This window comes from Homo sapiens, chromosome 11, assembly GCF_000001405.40.
Source record: "Homo sapiens chromosome 11, GRCh38.p14 Primary Assembly".
Lineage (NCBI taxonomy): Eukaryota > Metazoa > Chordata > Mammalia > Primates > Hominidae > Homo > Homo sapiens.
In genome coordinates, this window is record NC_000011.10 from 132,136,054 (window position 1) to 132,152,168 (window position 16,115).

Below are 16,115 nucleotides of genomic sequence, written 5' to 3' on the forward strand. Positions count from 1 at the left end.
CCTGGGGACCCCTTCCTCTCAGCCTCCTCACAGTCCACTAGAGAGAGGAGAGGCTTCTGTGGGCTCTACAGGATAGGGACAGAGAAGGATGAGCCTCCAGCCCCTGCAGTGTGTATTGCATGTTGGTCCTGCTCTCCTGTCCCACCTGTGTCTCACCTCCGTAGATGGTAGAAATGGAGCTCAGAAGCCAGCAGCCTCTCTCCTTGGAGGATGCCAGTCCACTCACCTACTGTGCCTCACTCTCACCTAGGCCCCAGGCAGTCATGTGGGCACTGTGTTACCACCAAAGGTGAGAGGATGTGTTGCCAAGGTCACTTAGTGAGAGAACAGACAAGGCCCACCTCGAACCCAGGTGTCCCCTTTGTCCCTCTGGAGTTCTAGTTGTATTTGACCTTTCTTCCTGTGAACTGTGGGGTTTGGATACAGCAGAGACTGTCTCTTTGGTTGTGAACCAGATTCCTTCTTTCCAGCCACTCCCTCCCACCACACATGGCCACACATGTACATCATATGTGTACATGGTCCCTGGGGCAAAGATCAGGTGGACAGGCAGTCTGCCTGCTGCCCAGTTCGCACACATGGGTGCCAGGCTTCACACACACTAACTGGAAGGGAAATGGCAGCTGCATGTGGTCTGGGGTATGATTTTGGTCTCCTAAGCTGTGATATTTTTTTTTCCTCTTCAAGTCATGTTCAAGTTCTAAGTATGGATGGTGCTTTAGGGTGATAGGAGTGTGCTAGAGGCAGGATCCAGGTCGGATTCTGGGGTTTGCTGGTTAAAGTGTGTCTTGACAAAGAATTGGAGGTGGAACTAGCCCCAGAGATGAAGCCAGGAGTGACACACATGCTGGCTTCCCCAGAGGCCAGTGCATCTCCTTCATAGTCGCACTAGGCCTTGGGCATGGGAGGAGCAAGGTAATTCCAGCCCCTTTTCTAGTGTGACTCCATGTGGCTAATCTATACTGTTCTTCCTAGTTTGCCTGAATACATCCTGGTTTAATCAGTGTAATCGCAAAAAGTGTCTGATTTGAACAATAATCAGTGTAACAATCAGTTTAATCAGTGTAATTGCAAAAAAAAGTGTCGATTTGGACAACTGCCAGGCTGGCCTAACTTGTCCAGGGACTGAATGAAGCCCCATTTCTTCATCCAGTGTGTCCCATAGTATGGGGTGACACACACTGGCCAGTGAGGGCAGGACTGGAGACAAAGCAAAGATGGAGGAGAGCCTGCAGATGGATTTGTTTCAGGGACTCCTGTTTCTTCTTCGCAGCTCCTTCCCTGCCAAGGAGGGCTGTCCCCTGGAGAAGAAAGAGACAAGCTCAAGTGTGCTACCATCTATAACCATCAGTGATTCTTTGAGCTGGCCTTTGCAGAGTTCTTCATTTTGGTTCCCTGCCTGCTCTTTGTCTTCAGGATAAAATGCAGACTCTTTCTTTCACGAGGGCTTATTGCACAACGAACCTGTAATAGTCAGGGATCCTACAGGGAAAAGATGGCATCCTCAAACTGGGTAATTTGAGCAGAGTTTAATAAAGTGGATATTTATGAAGGTGCAGCCAAGGTGTAGGAAAACTGTAAGGGACAGTCAGGACCCTGGGGCCACGAACAGGAAGGCACTGTTAACACTTTTAGGCCTGAAGGGATAAGGGGAAGAGGTCATGGCTGCCACCAGACTTTGATGGAGGGATATAGACAGCTGGTGGATGGACCCTGCTTCCTCCCCAACCCCGACTCCTGCCACTGCTTCCCAGTGGCAGAACAACAGGAGGCCAGAGGGCAGGGAGCCTGTCCACGCGATCCGTGCTGGTCGGCCTGCACTGGGTGGTGGACTTGCGGACACACAGAGAGCAACGTGCTAGCTTGCTGGCTTTGTCCCTGCTAAATTTTCTCTTCTACCCATGCCTTCTATTCCATAAGCTCCCCGTTTCCATCCTTCCACAAACTCGCCAGTATTTTCCCCAGCTCCTTTGTGCTTTGCTCATGCTCCTCCTACTGCTGGACATGCTGCACCTTACTCCTCCTTGCTGTTTACCAAGCTCTTTCCAACCTTGGCAGCCGCCTCAACACTTACCAAGATCCAAATTGCCCTGAAAGCAAGCACGAGTCATGTGTGAGGGTTCTTGGAGTAGAGAAAAAAATTGTATCTACTTCCTGCCTTCCCAGAGTTCCACATATGACAAAAAGATAAAGCATGGACATCCTGCTTCCAGTACACACCAAGATAAAGTATGTCTGGAAAACACTCATGGGGGAACAGCAAAATTTTGCAGAGAAAAGCTTGCCGGTATATGAATTAATATTTAAGCTTGACCTTGGTGTGGCATAGGAATTTGTCTAACAAACAATAAGGAAGGGCATTCCAAATAAAGCAGGAAGTCACAGAATTCCCAATGTGAACAGAATGTACAGGAAACAGTGAAAAGTGGTCCGGTGCACCTAATGAATGTCATGTTCGAAGCAGTGTGGGGTGGGAGTGTGTATTAGTCTGGGTTTTCCTTTTCAACAGAATCTATCTATCTATCTATCTATCTATCTATCTATCTATCTATCTATCTATCTATCTATTCTAATCTATCGAGAGACTTATAAGAATTGGCTCATGTCTGTAGTGTAAGTTTCAGTCTCAGTCCAAAGGCCTGAGACAAAGGAGCTGATGCCCAAGGACAGGAGAGGAATGTCCCAGCTCAAGCTGGAAGAGTGAAGTGCCCTTCCTCCACTCTTTCATTCTGTCCAGACCCTCAGTGTATTAGATGGTGCCCTCCCACATTGGGGAGGGTGGGTCTTATTTATGAAGCCTGCTGATCATCTCTTCTAGAAACACCTCACAGATACACCCAGAAATAACGTGCTACCAGCTGTCTGGCATCCCATAGTTCAGTCAAATTGACACAGAGAATTAATCATCACCGAAAATGAGGTGGAACTTTGTAGGGATCACTCACTGAAGTCCAAGCTCCAATGGCAGATGGAGTCCAGCGTGAATTCCCACTGAACTTTCGGCACTTCTGGGCTCTTTCCTTTATGAATGGTTGGTCTCCATGACAGGATTCCAGAGACCACTCTTCTGTGTTTGGACTGTTTTGAACATGCTAGGGAAAGAAAAGGAAAGAAAAACATCCAGGTTACCTAGCTTTGGTCACCTAGGGGAAAAAGGCTCCACTGTCTGTGGCTCTATGAGATGATGAAGATGCCCCACCTTGCCCAGGTTACCTTTTGCTAGAGTTTAGAATTTAGAGTTCTTGGCTACATGTGTGTAACAGAGTTATTGAATCAAAAAAATGGCTTGTGGGAGCCGTGACTTACAAACAAGATATGACCTATTGAGCAAGCCCATTCTTGCTTCAGCATTTAAATTAGTGTTGGGCTTTTGTTGTAGGTACAAATCAAAGTGTTGTGCCATTCATTTCAGAAAAGTCACGGCCCACCAAACTCAACAGAGTTTGTTTTGAGAGGATACTACTGTATTTGACAGGGACAGGAAGGACAGGTGGTAGGTGTGCTTATGGAGAATTTTCTGGAGGTGCACAGAGCAAAGGCTTCTTGATTTATCCCTAGGACATTACAGAAGTGGAGGGGGACTGCCTCCTTGCACGATTCTCACACACAGTGACCAGGTGTTGGGGGAGATGTGTGCATTTGTATTTGTGAGTGCAGGTTGGTGGGGACATGCAGAGTAATTATACTCACACACTGGGCCTTTATTGGATGCAGGCCTCATGGTCTTTTATCTCTCGGGAGTTTGTGAAAGATGGGAGATTTTAATCAAATAATTAATCAGTGGACAGATATTTATTGTGTGCCTACGTTGTACTCTACACAATGTTCTGTAGAGACACAAGTGAAAATAAGACATGATCCTTGCTTTTCAAGAACTTAAAATCAATCAAGTCAGCAATGTTACATCCCTAAGATGAGAAAGCAGTACATGTTATAGACTGTACAATAGGTTTATTTGTTGAATTTTTACAATAAACAAAAGAATGTATTTACATGCATGTTTCCATTTAATCTTCTCATTAACCCCATGCAAGAAGAGAGGTTATTTCTACTGCAGGTGATTTAAATGAAACCCAGTGGAGTGAGATAACCTCTCTGAGGCCTGAGGGGCATCAGGAACAGAGCTGGGACATTCCTTGTAGCAGTCAGACTTCAGACCCTATTCTCTTTGCTCTCCCGGAGCCTCTCTCTGACTACAACTACCTCCTAGCGGTGTGGGACTCACAGTGCAGTGTGTGTGCTGCTGCTTTTGGTTTTGTTTGTTTCCTTTTTCCTCCCCCTAATCCTTTCACCTGTATCATAAGTGTGCTGTCTGCTTCTACCTAGGCATGATGAGCCCTCTTACTTTCATAGCTAGGAAAGATTCCATGGCCTACCTCCGTTTTCTTATGTCATGCAAAAATGGTAATAGTTGGGAGACGTAAGAACAGTGTGCAATGTGAGTCTAAGTCTAGTATTTTTGTCTCTCTATGACCCAGATCAATTTTGTAAACTTCCACACAAGTTTAGAGTCTAAAAGAAATCCAGTAGGGTCAAAATTAGCAGCCTCAGTAGTGACGCTTTCTCTTACAATAAAGGAGTAAGGTGCTAGCTGATATCTGAATGTTCAGTGTCTTCGTGGGGAAGTATCCTGTTTTGTTAATTTCTTAGTTTCCCCCAGAGAACACTTTCTCACAAGCGCAGATGTGGAAGATGTACACGCCAACCCCATGGCAGCGTGTGTGGGTATTTCTGAGCCATTTGCGTCGTGATGTTCCCCTATGATGCTTGAGGGGAGGGGCAGGGCACAAGCCGAATGCTCAGAGGCACCAAACTTAGGGGCAGCTGGAGCATTTCTGTGTGATAAGAGGCAATTGTGACCAGGTGCTGCGAAGGGCGAAAGCACTTATTTTGCTGTGGCTTCAAGCATTGCTTGAGATGCGCTGCCTTTCAGACACAGTTAAAGGGCCATTTGATAGAAGGAACGGTTGGACCGCACACTGTCTGCATCCATTATTGCCCTCAGATCTTCAGGCAGGTGTGTTTAAGAAAGGCCAAGCCTGGATGTTTCTCTCTTTTTTCAATAATCTATCTCCTTATTGCAACACTCTCTTTGCCCATCTTTAGAAGATTCCAAGCAGACACTTTTGCTTCTTTTTTTCTTCCAATTCCCAGGTTCTCTCTCTCTTTCTCTCTCTCTTTCTGTCTCTCTCTCTCTCCCTCTCTCTCCCCCCTACCCCTCTCTCTCTATCTCTCTTTCTCTTTTCTCATCCTAAATCCAAAAGTAGCTTCAGGACCTGAGTCCATACTTTCATGGTTCTATTTCTGCGGTGCACATCTTGGGCTTGCTTAATCATTTGTTTTTGCTTTTCCTCTATGTGTAAATGCAGCATGTGTAATAAAACAACTATTCATCAGAGAGATATTCAGGACACAGAGGGTTGCATTTTTAGAGCATTGGAACAATAGGTGCAGCTGCAGAAAATTACAGGTATGGCAGTGTTCTTTCTCTACCATACTCGAGCTCCCATGCATGAGTGAGCATGTGCACATGTGGCTGGATCCTCTTTTGGCCAAATACACCCTGAATATTGACACAGGTGGGGCACCCTCAATAATCCCTGCTCAAACAGTATAGGCCTATTCTCTAAAAGAAGACACTTATCCAAAAAAGGAACATGGTGCAGACAGACACACACAGACTAAGAAGGGGACTGTGGCTCGGTACTGAAATGGAAAACACATGCCTTTTCCAGGCTTTATTTCTTTTTGTCTGGATTCTTCCAGGATGCTGAGTATGCTAGGCCATGGGCTGTCCACGGGGGCCACACACAGGAGGGGAAGGCCGCAGGAGGGATGCTGATGGGAAAACCATTCACAGAGACACAGAAGGCTAATGGCCACTGCCAGAGGGCTGCAGTGCGGGGCAACTGGAGGGCAACATTGAAGCTGGAGGACAGAAGGGAGCTGGAGTTGCAGGGCCCAGTCCAGAATCCTCAAGGGAACCTCTGTCCCTCTATTCTTCATATATGTGGCAGGATGGGCAGAGAGGATGCCAGCGGTGGGAGGGCGGTATATCTGGAGGTTGTGGACGAAAGGGGAGAGGCTTTGCAGGTCTGATCTGGGAACATCCCGCCCTTTTGATCGCCCATCTCCCACCTCTTGTTGGCCTATGTTACATTGACTTGTGACTATTCCTCCATATCTGATGAGCGGCCATCTCCAGTTCAGCTCACCTGGATGAGTCAGGGACAGTGGAGTTTGAAGCCTTACTCACTCTGACTTAATCACCAGTTAACCACCATCCTGAGAGAGGTGAGATACCGTACCGTGTTTCAGGAGCAGTTTTGTAGAAGGACTATGTCAAGGGCTGTCTCTGCAAAGAGAGGACTCGTTGTCTGAATGTCCCACCTCCAGAGCCTTCTCTGTGGCTGAGAGAGCAATTATGCTCATTTTCACTTTTCTTTTTTTAACCGAGGAGCGATGTGTCCTCTGCATTGTTGAGGAGACTGGATCAATGAGACAGATAGATGGGGGCAGGTGTGAGGAGGTGACAGAGTTGGCTGCCGAGGTACCTTTGTGATCCATCTCTGCAGAAGCCGGCATTCATTCCGTGGGGATTCAGCAAGACTGATACCCAGCAGTGACAGTTTGGACATCTAAACATGACCTTGGATGTGTTCAGAACCGCAGCTGGAACTGTGCCAACTCCTCAGAGTAGTACATCACAGGAGCCGCAGAACCATGCTGGAAATTGGCTGCGTTCTGAGTGCTAGTGCATCTGCAGACGAACCTCTCTGGCCCTGTAGTGCGGTGCAGTGTTGGGGGACGGCTTCCGTTTCTGTCAATTTTCAATAATTAGATGCTCACAAGGAAGCCCAGGACAGTCCTCTCGTGTTCATCGGGAGGTTGTGAGATGCCCTCGTTGTGGGCATCAAAAATAATTATTCAAGCAGTTTAGTGTTTGTCAGTCAGCGTTTCCTGCACCATGGCCACTCACCTGGTACTTGTCAGATTTCAGCTGCTGGGGAAGAAAATAAAGGACTCTGCTTCTGGTTTCCCTGAACATATGGGTTACAGGAAAGTTCTCTCCTGTAACGTATCAGAAAACTGTTTCATACCAGGGTCCTTTCCTAGTGCCTATTCACTCTGCAACTCTCATTTTTGCCAGGAAACACACGTCTAGGTTAGAGGTTCTCAGGGAGCTCTCCAGACCAGCATCAGCAGCATTTGGAATTTTGTCAGAAATGCAGCCTCCCAGGCCCTGCCTGGGCCTACTGAATCAGAAACCCATGGAGTAAGGTCCCAGGAATCTCTTTTTTATCAGGTCTTTCAGGTGATTCTGATGCACAGTGAATTTGAGAAGAACTGATTTAGATGTTCTTTTGGGAGCACCTATAAGAACACTAAATTTGGAAAACAAAACAAAAACTGGCATGAATCCTGCTTCTACAGTTTAATATCAGCATGGTTTCAGTCAATATGGCTAATGTTTTTTAGCCTCAGCTAATTTTGTCTGTAAATTGGCAATAAGTGAACCCAACCAAGTTTGTGAGATGATAAAATAGTACACATAGTGGGCTCATGTAGTCAATTAACATTGACCATGAATGTGAATTCATCCAGTCCCTGCTTGGACCCAAGTGAAGGTCAGAGCAGTGGCCACCCTTCAGATTATTAATATAAGCTATCCTAGATACATTACTAGCAAAGCAAGCTGCAAAGTGTGTTTTTGTTCTTGAGAGATTTCAAACTTATGTCGTTCCAAATTCATGTTTCAGACAAGGCAGTACCAGATGGCAGTCATGGGGTCTGCAAGGAGCATAAGGGAAGGTACACCCTTAGGTGTAGTAAGAGAGGTGCACCCTCTATCGACTGTAGTTTTCTCCTTCTTGCTCACCCTCAGAGTCCATTCTGGATATTGTCATCAAAGCCACAAGAAAGGCTTGGATCAGTTCAAACTTCATGTGCATTCAGGTTACCTGGACATCTTATTAAAATGCAGATTCAAATTTCTTATCTCTGAGAGGAGACCTGAGTTTCTGCATTTCTGATGAGCTCCCACCCAAGTGATGCTGATGTTGGTGGTTTGCCAGCCACACTTTTGTGTAGTGTGGTGCTAGCTCAGTGCTTCTTAAACCCTAATGTGCACAAAACTCATGTCTAGATATGAACTTCTAGATGTGACTCAAGGAATGACCAGGGGCCATCAGCTTTGGCATTACCTGGGAGCTTGCTAAAAATGCAGAATCCAAGGCCCTACCTCAGACCTACTGAATCAGCATCTGTACTTCAGCGAAATCCCCAGGGGGCTCATGTGCACCGTAAAGCTTGAGAAACATGTGGAGCTGGCTTCACAACTTTGTTTATTTCCATAGAAATCTGTGGTTGGTTTAAGGCTGTGTTCTCACCACCTTGAAATCCTTATTCATGCTTGAGCAAAATATTCTGTGTTCTTATTTTGCACTGGGCCCCATAAATGATATAAGTTGTCCTAGACACACTGCTCCATATTAGTGGTTTTGAAACATTAGTGTGTGTATGACCCAACTGAGATGTTGTTATAAATTCCCAAATATTCTGAATCAGTAGACTGGGGGTGAGACTAAGAATCTGTAATAAACCTCTCCTGTGATTCTAATATAAGTAGTCCATGAGCACTTTGAAAGGTAGTCCCCAGATCTTCTCCAAGCTAGGCCTTCACTCATTTCCATGCTGTATCAGGATGGTGCCAGAGAGAGCCCACCTCTCATCTGCATTGCCAGAAAATGCAATGAGCTGCAAAAAACTTGTTGGACACCTGTGCCAAGGTGTTTCTTTTTGGGCAGTATTTCCCACAAGAACTCTCAGCAAACTATCCCTGTGCACCTAAGTGATCCTTACATAATGTTGAGACATTTACATAAGCAAAGCAGAAAGGATGCACAGTACAGGATGTCTCATGGGGACAGGGGGTCTCCTGAAGAAGCAGGTGTGTATAGTAGCACTTGTTAGAATTTTTATGGTCACAAACCATTTTGAGAATCCAATAGAAGCCATCACCCATCCTCAATGAAAAATTCACCTTTGCACATTATGAGTCTCACATAGTACCAGGAATTAGAAGACTTGACTGAGAGGTCTGACTTCTATACTTCTAGCTCTCATTCCTTGGACAAGTCATCAGGCTATTCAGAACCCTAGTGTCCTGATCTTTAAAGCAGAGAATGGGTAAGAGTGTCAACCTCATAAATTTGTTGCAAAACATCAAAGGAGACATTGAGCTGTAAAAGTGCTTTGTACACTGCAAAATAATGTATACATTTGAGACATCATTATACATCCTATGCTACATTGTTATTTCCAGCATTATAGTCAGGATCAGGACACTGCTTGTAAATTTAGCCTAAGGCCATGGAACAGACTTGCTGTAGTAAGAGAGGGAAATGAATACAGACAGAAAGACATGATGAGGACTTGGCGAGAGTTGCTGGGAAATTTAAAAGTGTAGAAAAGAGAAGGGAGATTCCACAATTCAAGGACTCCAGATGCAAAAATAAAAGAAAGAAAATCTATTTTTATATGTGCAGACAGTTTTGAGATTTTGGAAAGTGGCTTTAGTCTAGCAGTTAACCGAACATTTCTGCCCCTGGGTATAATGAAGATGAATAGCAATAGTGGTGGTCTGTATTTAGTTTTGACTGCAGAAGCCTTCTGTGGGAATTTGCTATTCTGAGATGAGAGGAATGATGTTTAGTAGTTAAAAGCTGGGTCTCTGATCTAACACATAATTATTGTGTGACTTGGAGAACTAGTTTAGTTTAGTTTCTCTGCTCTTCTAGGCTTTTTCCAATAAAAGATTCTTCATAGGGTTATTATAAGTATTGAATGACTTAGTGCACCCTAAACAGCTAGACATAACTATGAAGGATTATCATCACCCAAATCCTTGAGCAAAGGGAGAACTGGTAGTATTCGAAGTATCCAGCCATCCTGGGCATGCAAGGTACCTCTAGGTTATAACTGAGATCGTATTTGAAGTGGTTCTGTGCTCAAGTGGTTTGAGAAGCTCCGAGCAACATTCTGAGGCTGTAATCCCATAAGACCTTTGCTGTGTTCCAGAAAAGTCCACCCCTGACAAATCAAAGGAAATGTATGTGTTGGGGGAAGGGAGAAAGACAAGATATTCTAGCCTTGCCATGAGGACCTCCCTCTGATGGCTGCTGTCGTCTCTCAGTCCCTTGACGTACCTGTCTGGTCTTCCCTTCAGGTGCACTATTGACAACCGGGTCACCCGGGTGGCCTGGCTAAACCGCAGCACCATCCTCTATGCTGGGAATGACAAGTGGTGCCTGGATCCTCGCGTGGTCCTTCTGAGCAACACCCAAACGCAGTACAGCATCGAGATCCAGAACGTGGATGTGTATGACGAGGGCCCTTACACCTGCTCGGTGCAGACAGACAACCACCCAAAGACCTCTAGGGTCCACCTCATTGTGCAAGGTAGGTGGGCGGGGCTTGGCGGGGAGATCTGGCTGGCCAGCCTGGAAAGCCTTCAGGTAAAGGTTTGTTCTCTGATCCTCAACAGAGATGAGTTATCCTTATTCTACGCATCTGGGGTCCAGGGCACATTTCTGGTTGTCATTTTGCAGTTAGAAGCTAAATTTTCCAGTCATTTTCATTGAGTGGAACTAGGAATTGTTTTTTTCATTTTTGTTCCAATAATATATTTTCTCAGGAAATTATCTTGTAATTATTGCTCTTCTTGGCTTTTTTCTCCCCTAAGTTTTAGTTATTTTTGTTTGTTTGTTTTTTGTTTTGTTTTGTTTTGTTTTTTAGATTTCATCCAATTCCAAGACTGTGTTATGTTTAAAACCAGACTTTTAATGCACTTTTGGAAGTACAGGTATGCCATGTCCCCCTCCAGCCTTGAACGAAAGCAGAGCCAACCAGGATGCACTGGGCACTGCCCTCAGCTGCATCCTTCACAAGCACCTGCTTGTTTCCAGCTCACTTGCGCCTCCTCTCCTCTCCCAGCCAGGGGTTTTGGATGCCATTTCTCCCATATAATACTGGTGTCTGATTCTCCCTGTTTTGATTCCATCCCAACTCTCCTGGCCTTCTTCTCCTCCCCTGACTCCTAGTTCATGAGGCCTTGTATGTTTGTGTGTGTGTGTGTGTGTGTGTGTGTGTGTGTGTGTGTGAGAGAGAGAGAGAGAGAGAGAGAGAATATGTGTGTTGGTTATGCTCTCTTAGACCCTGGGAATGGAGCTCACCTCTTCCCACAAGGCAGAACCAGTCCTGGGGCATTCAGACAACACTTAACCCGGTTGAAGGATTCCTAGTTAGTGAGCAAGAGCTGGCATCACACTTGGCCACTTTCTGGCTGTGAGACCTTAATCAAGTTATTACCGTGTCTCAGGGTTCTCTTTCTGTAAAGGGGGTCAACGTGAGGATTGAACTGTAAACGTACTGACATAGAAAACACGTAGAAGAGGGCGTGGCACATACAAGTGCTATTTCAGTGTTAGCTATGGAGCTTTCTTTTCTCTTTTTTAGGACTTTTGTAATTTTTAAAATTTTTGAGCATCTTTTACAGTGGGTCAAATATCTTATTTTGTGATGTCAGCAGTATAGCCCCTGAGCAGCGGCATGCCAGATCCAGTGCTGGAGCCCTTTCCCAGGCTGATCCCGAGGCCCTTTCAACCAGGGACGTGTAGCTCCAGGGTGACAAACTCCTCTCCTAGGGGCTCCTTCCACCAGTCCCCTTGTCGGTGTGTTCAAGAAAAGGGTAAAGAACTATGGGATGATTGGTTAGAGACAGAATAGGAAGGAAGGCAGCTTGAGAAGGAAGAACTGAAGTGAGCCGGAAGAAGGAAGGGGAGGCCTGCTGTTTGACAGTAGGGGAAGGCGGAACTTGGGTCGTGATCAGCACTGTTGAGTGAGGCAGGGTGAGCAGGACTGAGAGGAGGACACATGAGAACAAGGTGATGCTGGACCTGGCTGTGGGCAGAACGTATGCCAGGGGACATGGGAATCCTTGATGCTGTGGCCCAAGTTTGGTCATGCCAAGTTTTTATTATATTTTGCTTACTCTTTCTTCCCCAAAGGAAATTACAATGGCTGTTTAAAAAATGATTCTATAAATGAATACTTTTTGAACTGATGCATGCAAACAGCAATTTTAAAGAAAATAGAATTGCATAGAAGGTATCAGAGTGTATTACAAAGAGTGGAGTAGGTATTGCCATGTGAGATTTTTGTTTCAGTTTGTGTACATTTTTTAATGTAAAATACATTTTTTATTATGGATAGGGAGGCCAAAAATGCTTGAGAATCTCCACTCTGTGGGCAGGGCTGGTGAATGCCCTGGTGCCACCATCTGCATACTCTACCAGGTGGTGGTTTGGAAGCTATTGCTCAGCCCCCCTCCTGTCCTGCCCCAACCCCTGCACACTTAGTGTTGAGAAAAGAATGCCTAGCATTGACAATGAGAGACTGGGAACTAGGAACTATTAGAGATATTTGCTTTAGGAAGCAGGGCCTCATGGAACTGGAAAGTGGAAGGAATTGTGAAAAGTGCTAATGTCTCCTTGAAAACTGGATCATATTTTTGTCATTTTCTTTCTTCAGCCACCCCCACTCACACACACCCCCACACCCCTGCCCTGAACACCTCGCAGAATGCCTGATACAAAGTGAACATTTAATAAATGCTTATTGAAGCAAATGGCTAGAATTAGAGCCAGGTGATCTTATATGGGCTCCAAGAGAGACGGCTGGGTGTTTTTGGGGGTGAGATGATGGGAGGGGGTGAGAGGATGGAGTCTACATCAATCTTCACTCACATCCAAGCTAATGGAAAATGTCTAATCCCTTGCTAGGTGTTTACATCTGTGACTTAGCTAGGTGCCCTCTCGCATGACACACCACCTCAAGTATTGGAATCTCATCTTGGGCTAATTTTCGAATGCTGATGGGTGTATTGATCTGGAAACAAGCTGGGTTAAAAAAGGCATTGGTCTTTTACACAGACTCAGCCCAAGCTAATCCGCTGTCGATATGCCTGGACTGAGTATTATCGACACTTTAATGAATAGAGGACCATAGTTTTTTCAGAGCCAAACTGACCCCCTCTTCAAAGCGATCAGACAAACTAAATAGAGCCAGATTCTTGTGTTTCTGTATTGGAAAGAGGATGCACCACCATCCTGGATTACAAAAAAAAAAAAAAAGGGAAAGAAATATATTTATCTTGGGATCGTTTATTATACCAAACATAAACCCTAATTCCCCTAGCAGAAGCTGACTCTCTGGATTTGAAGTTGCTATTCAGCCCTGAGCTTCTGGAATAAAAGTTGGGCATATTAGGTTTTCAAAATGGTATTATGATCCTTTAAAAAAAGAAATAAAAACAGCAACAACAAAAAGGAACTAAATTGATATTCTGCCCATGAGTATGTGTATTTATGTATATGTAGTCACCTTCATATCTAAATAAATCCACACAGAAGGAAGGTAGTGGCATCTCACAGCATTGCACAAGCTGCTTCAGGTCTGGGGTATGTCTTTCCCCTTACTGTCAAATATCCCATCTACCCCCTAGTTCTCTGTACTGGATTTTCTTCCCCTGTGGTTCTGATCCAATATGGTTATTTCTTGCAGACAGCCGTGAGGCCAAGGCGACCACATGGAGCAAGTCTCTGGGGCAAGCTAGGAGCAAAGGGCATCCTGGGGGAGGAGGGTGACCCTGGAGCCAGTGTGGGAGGGAGATGGAGGGGGAAGGCGGCAGAAAGGAGGAGACAAGAGAACTGAGCCAAGTAGCTACTTGCCAGGGTGGCTATTTTAAATTAAATTTAAATTAGCTACAACCAAACAACATTTAAAATTTACTTCTTCAGTCACACTAGCCACACTGCAGTGCTTCCATAGTCATGCAAGACTACTGTTCCCTTGTGTTCATTTTGCATTACTATAAAGGAATGCCTGAGGCTGGTAATTCACACACATAAAAAAGAGGTTTATTTGGCTCATGGTTCTGCAGCCTGTACAAGCACAGCACCAACATTTGCATCTGGAGAGGGCCTCAGAATGCTTCTATTCGTGGCATGGCGTGAAGGGGACCCAGTATATGCAGAATTGCATGGTGAGAGAAAAAGCCAGAGACAGCAGGGACGGTGCCAGGCTCTTTTTTACCACCAGCTTTCGAGAAAGCTAATAGAGCAAGAACTCACTTGCCCCACCCCCTGCATTTATCTATTTATGCTCCATCCCCATGGCCAGACATCTCCCATTAGGCCCCCACCTCCAATTTTGGAATCAACTTTCCACATAAGATCTACGGGAACAAATACCCAAACTACTGCACTCCTGTGTTGGACAGTGCAGAGAGAGAACATTTGTGTGAACTTCCATTGTAAAAAGCTTTATTGGATAGTGCTATAAGGGGTTACCATTATGGATCAGCAGGTGTTAAAGCTAGAATGGCTTTCCATGGCTTGAAGGGCTAGGTATATTGTGGAAAGGAGAGTGGAATTTTGGAAAGAGAATGGAAATTTTAAATAGATGGTGCTCTTTTAAAAACAAGAGAGAATTGTTGAAAAAGATGGAGTAATGGATTTCCTAGGTTAGCTTCAATTGTTTAAAAAGATGGAGTAATGGAGTTCCTAGGTTAGCTTAGACAGAGAAGAGTCTGGAGTCCAAGGATGTACCTGCAGGAGAGTAGGCAGAGTTCGAGGGTTGGTTAAGTGTGAGCATGGGGGTGATGACTCCACCAGGACACTGAGATTTCTACCTGTGAGCTCAGGGGACATGAATACTAACATGTCTAAAGATCACATGGCAAAACTGATTCATCAGCAGAGGGGAATGAGTTCAGATACCTGGATTTCTTGACTTTGAGATGCCTTGAATACTTCCTTCAAATGTGAAATGTAAGAAATACCACCCGTGGATTTGCATGTCCTGAACATAATCTTTTTGTCCAGAATAGGGGAGATTCATCTAAAATTTATTAACATTTAGGTCTAATGATTTCCATCTCTTTGACCTTAGGGTTTTTTGCCTAATAAACATAATTAATAAGTGGTTCTCTCTGGAGTCTAGCAGAATATTTTATTCCTTTCACCCTCTTAATCCTGCTACCAAACCGAGCATATTGTACATCTGAAAAAGCCATACTACTGTCTCCATTGTTCCTTTGGACAAGGTTACATCTTGGAAAACAGAGTGGATAAAACATTCAGTGGGAATGAATTGTTTGGCAAGTTAAGGACAGCTTGAGAAGACGTCTAAAAGGCCCCGTCTGTGTTTCTAAGAACCCATGAATGGTGGTAGAGCAAAAGTGTGCCATGGTTGTGTGCAGAGTGTTAAGAAAGGTCCTCCTTATCCAAGTATGGAAAACTGACTTCTCCATTTTGACTGGTGTACCTGCAGGAATTCACTCTCACTTAGAGACACATTTGTATGACAGAGAACAGTAGAATACAGTGCTTATAAAAACAGGGATATTAGTGTAATAAAAAATGTTAAAAAAGCTTTTAGCCTCTTTGTCAGTTTTCCAGGCCCTAGCTAGGTTTCTCTTTTGTCACTGGAGTATCTAATCATCCCCTCCCTTTTGTTTGGTAAAATGAGTTTTCCTATTTCTTGCTGGGCAGAATTAATCTGAAAATCCCTGCTATTGTTTGATAGTTAATTACCTGCCTTTGGAGTCAAACAGCTCCGAAGCTCAGGTAAAGAAGGGAAACACAAATGTCTATGGAATAGGGCAGGAATGAGGGAAAGAAGCCAGGACATTCTGTTCACTTCGTGTGTTAAAGTAATTCCAGAGAGAAAGGGACTAGACTAGGGAGACACCCAGCCCAGGCAGTGACTTGCAAATAATGGAAGTATGGCCACATCAGCCCCTAATTTACCTTTGATTGTCTCCCTATTTCTGACTCTCTCTCTTACCCACTTGATATATACAACCGTGTTTCTTTCCAATCCTGAATAATTAGTTGACCTTGTCAAGCAAAAGCTCATTATTATGATTCAGAGAACAGGAACAATAACTTTTAATTTCTAGGTAGCTACACCCTAGAGACCCCTCCCCACTCTGAATCTGAACTGAAGGTAATTTGAAACACAAAATATCAAAGGAAATAATGTGACCTAAT

General features: G+C 44.7%; 1 protein-coding gene across 41 annotated transcripts in view; it reads left to right on the plus strand.

Annotated features, from left to right (window-relative positions):
• Window positions 1-16,115, plus strand: part of NTM (neurotrimin) — a 966,208-nt gene that overhangs the window by 765,439 nt on the left and 184,654 nt on the right. For 37 of the 41 annotated variants that reach the window (NR_170352.1, NR_170351.1, NR_170346.1 and 34 more), the window contains one exon: window positions 10,229-10,461. The exons of the other annotated variants lie outside the window; for them this stretch is intronic. Coding sequence is in view for 19 of the 37 variants with exons in the window: in NM_001352006.2 (NP_001338935.1) it covers window positions 10,229-10,461 (233 nt within the window). In the remaining 18 variants the exon portion in view is untranslated. The remainder of the gene's footprint in view (window positions 1-10,228; window positions 10,462-16,115) is intronic. 41 annotated transcript variants of the gene reach the window in all.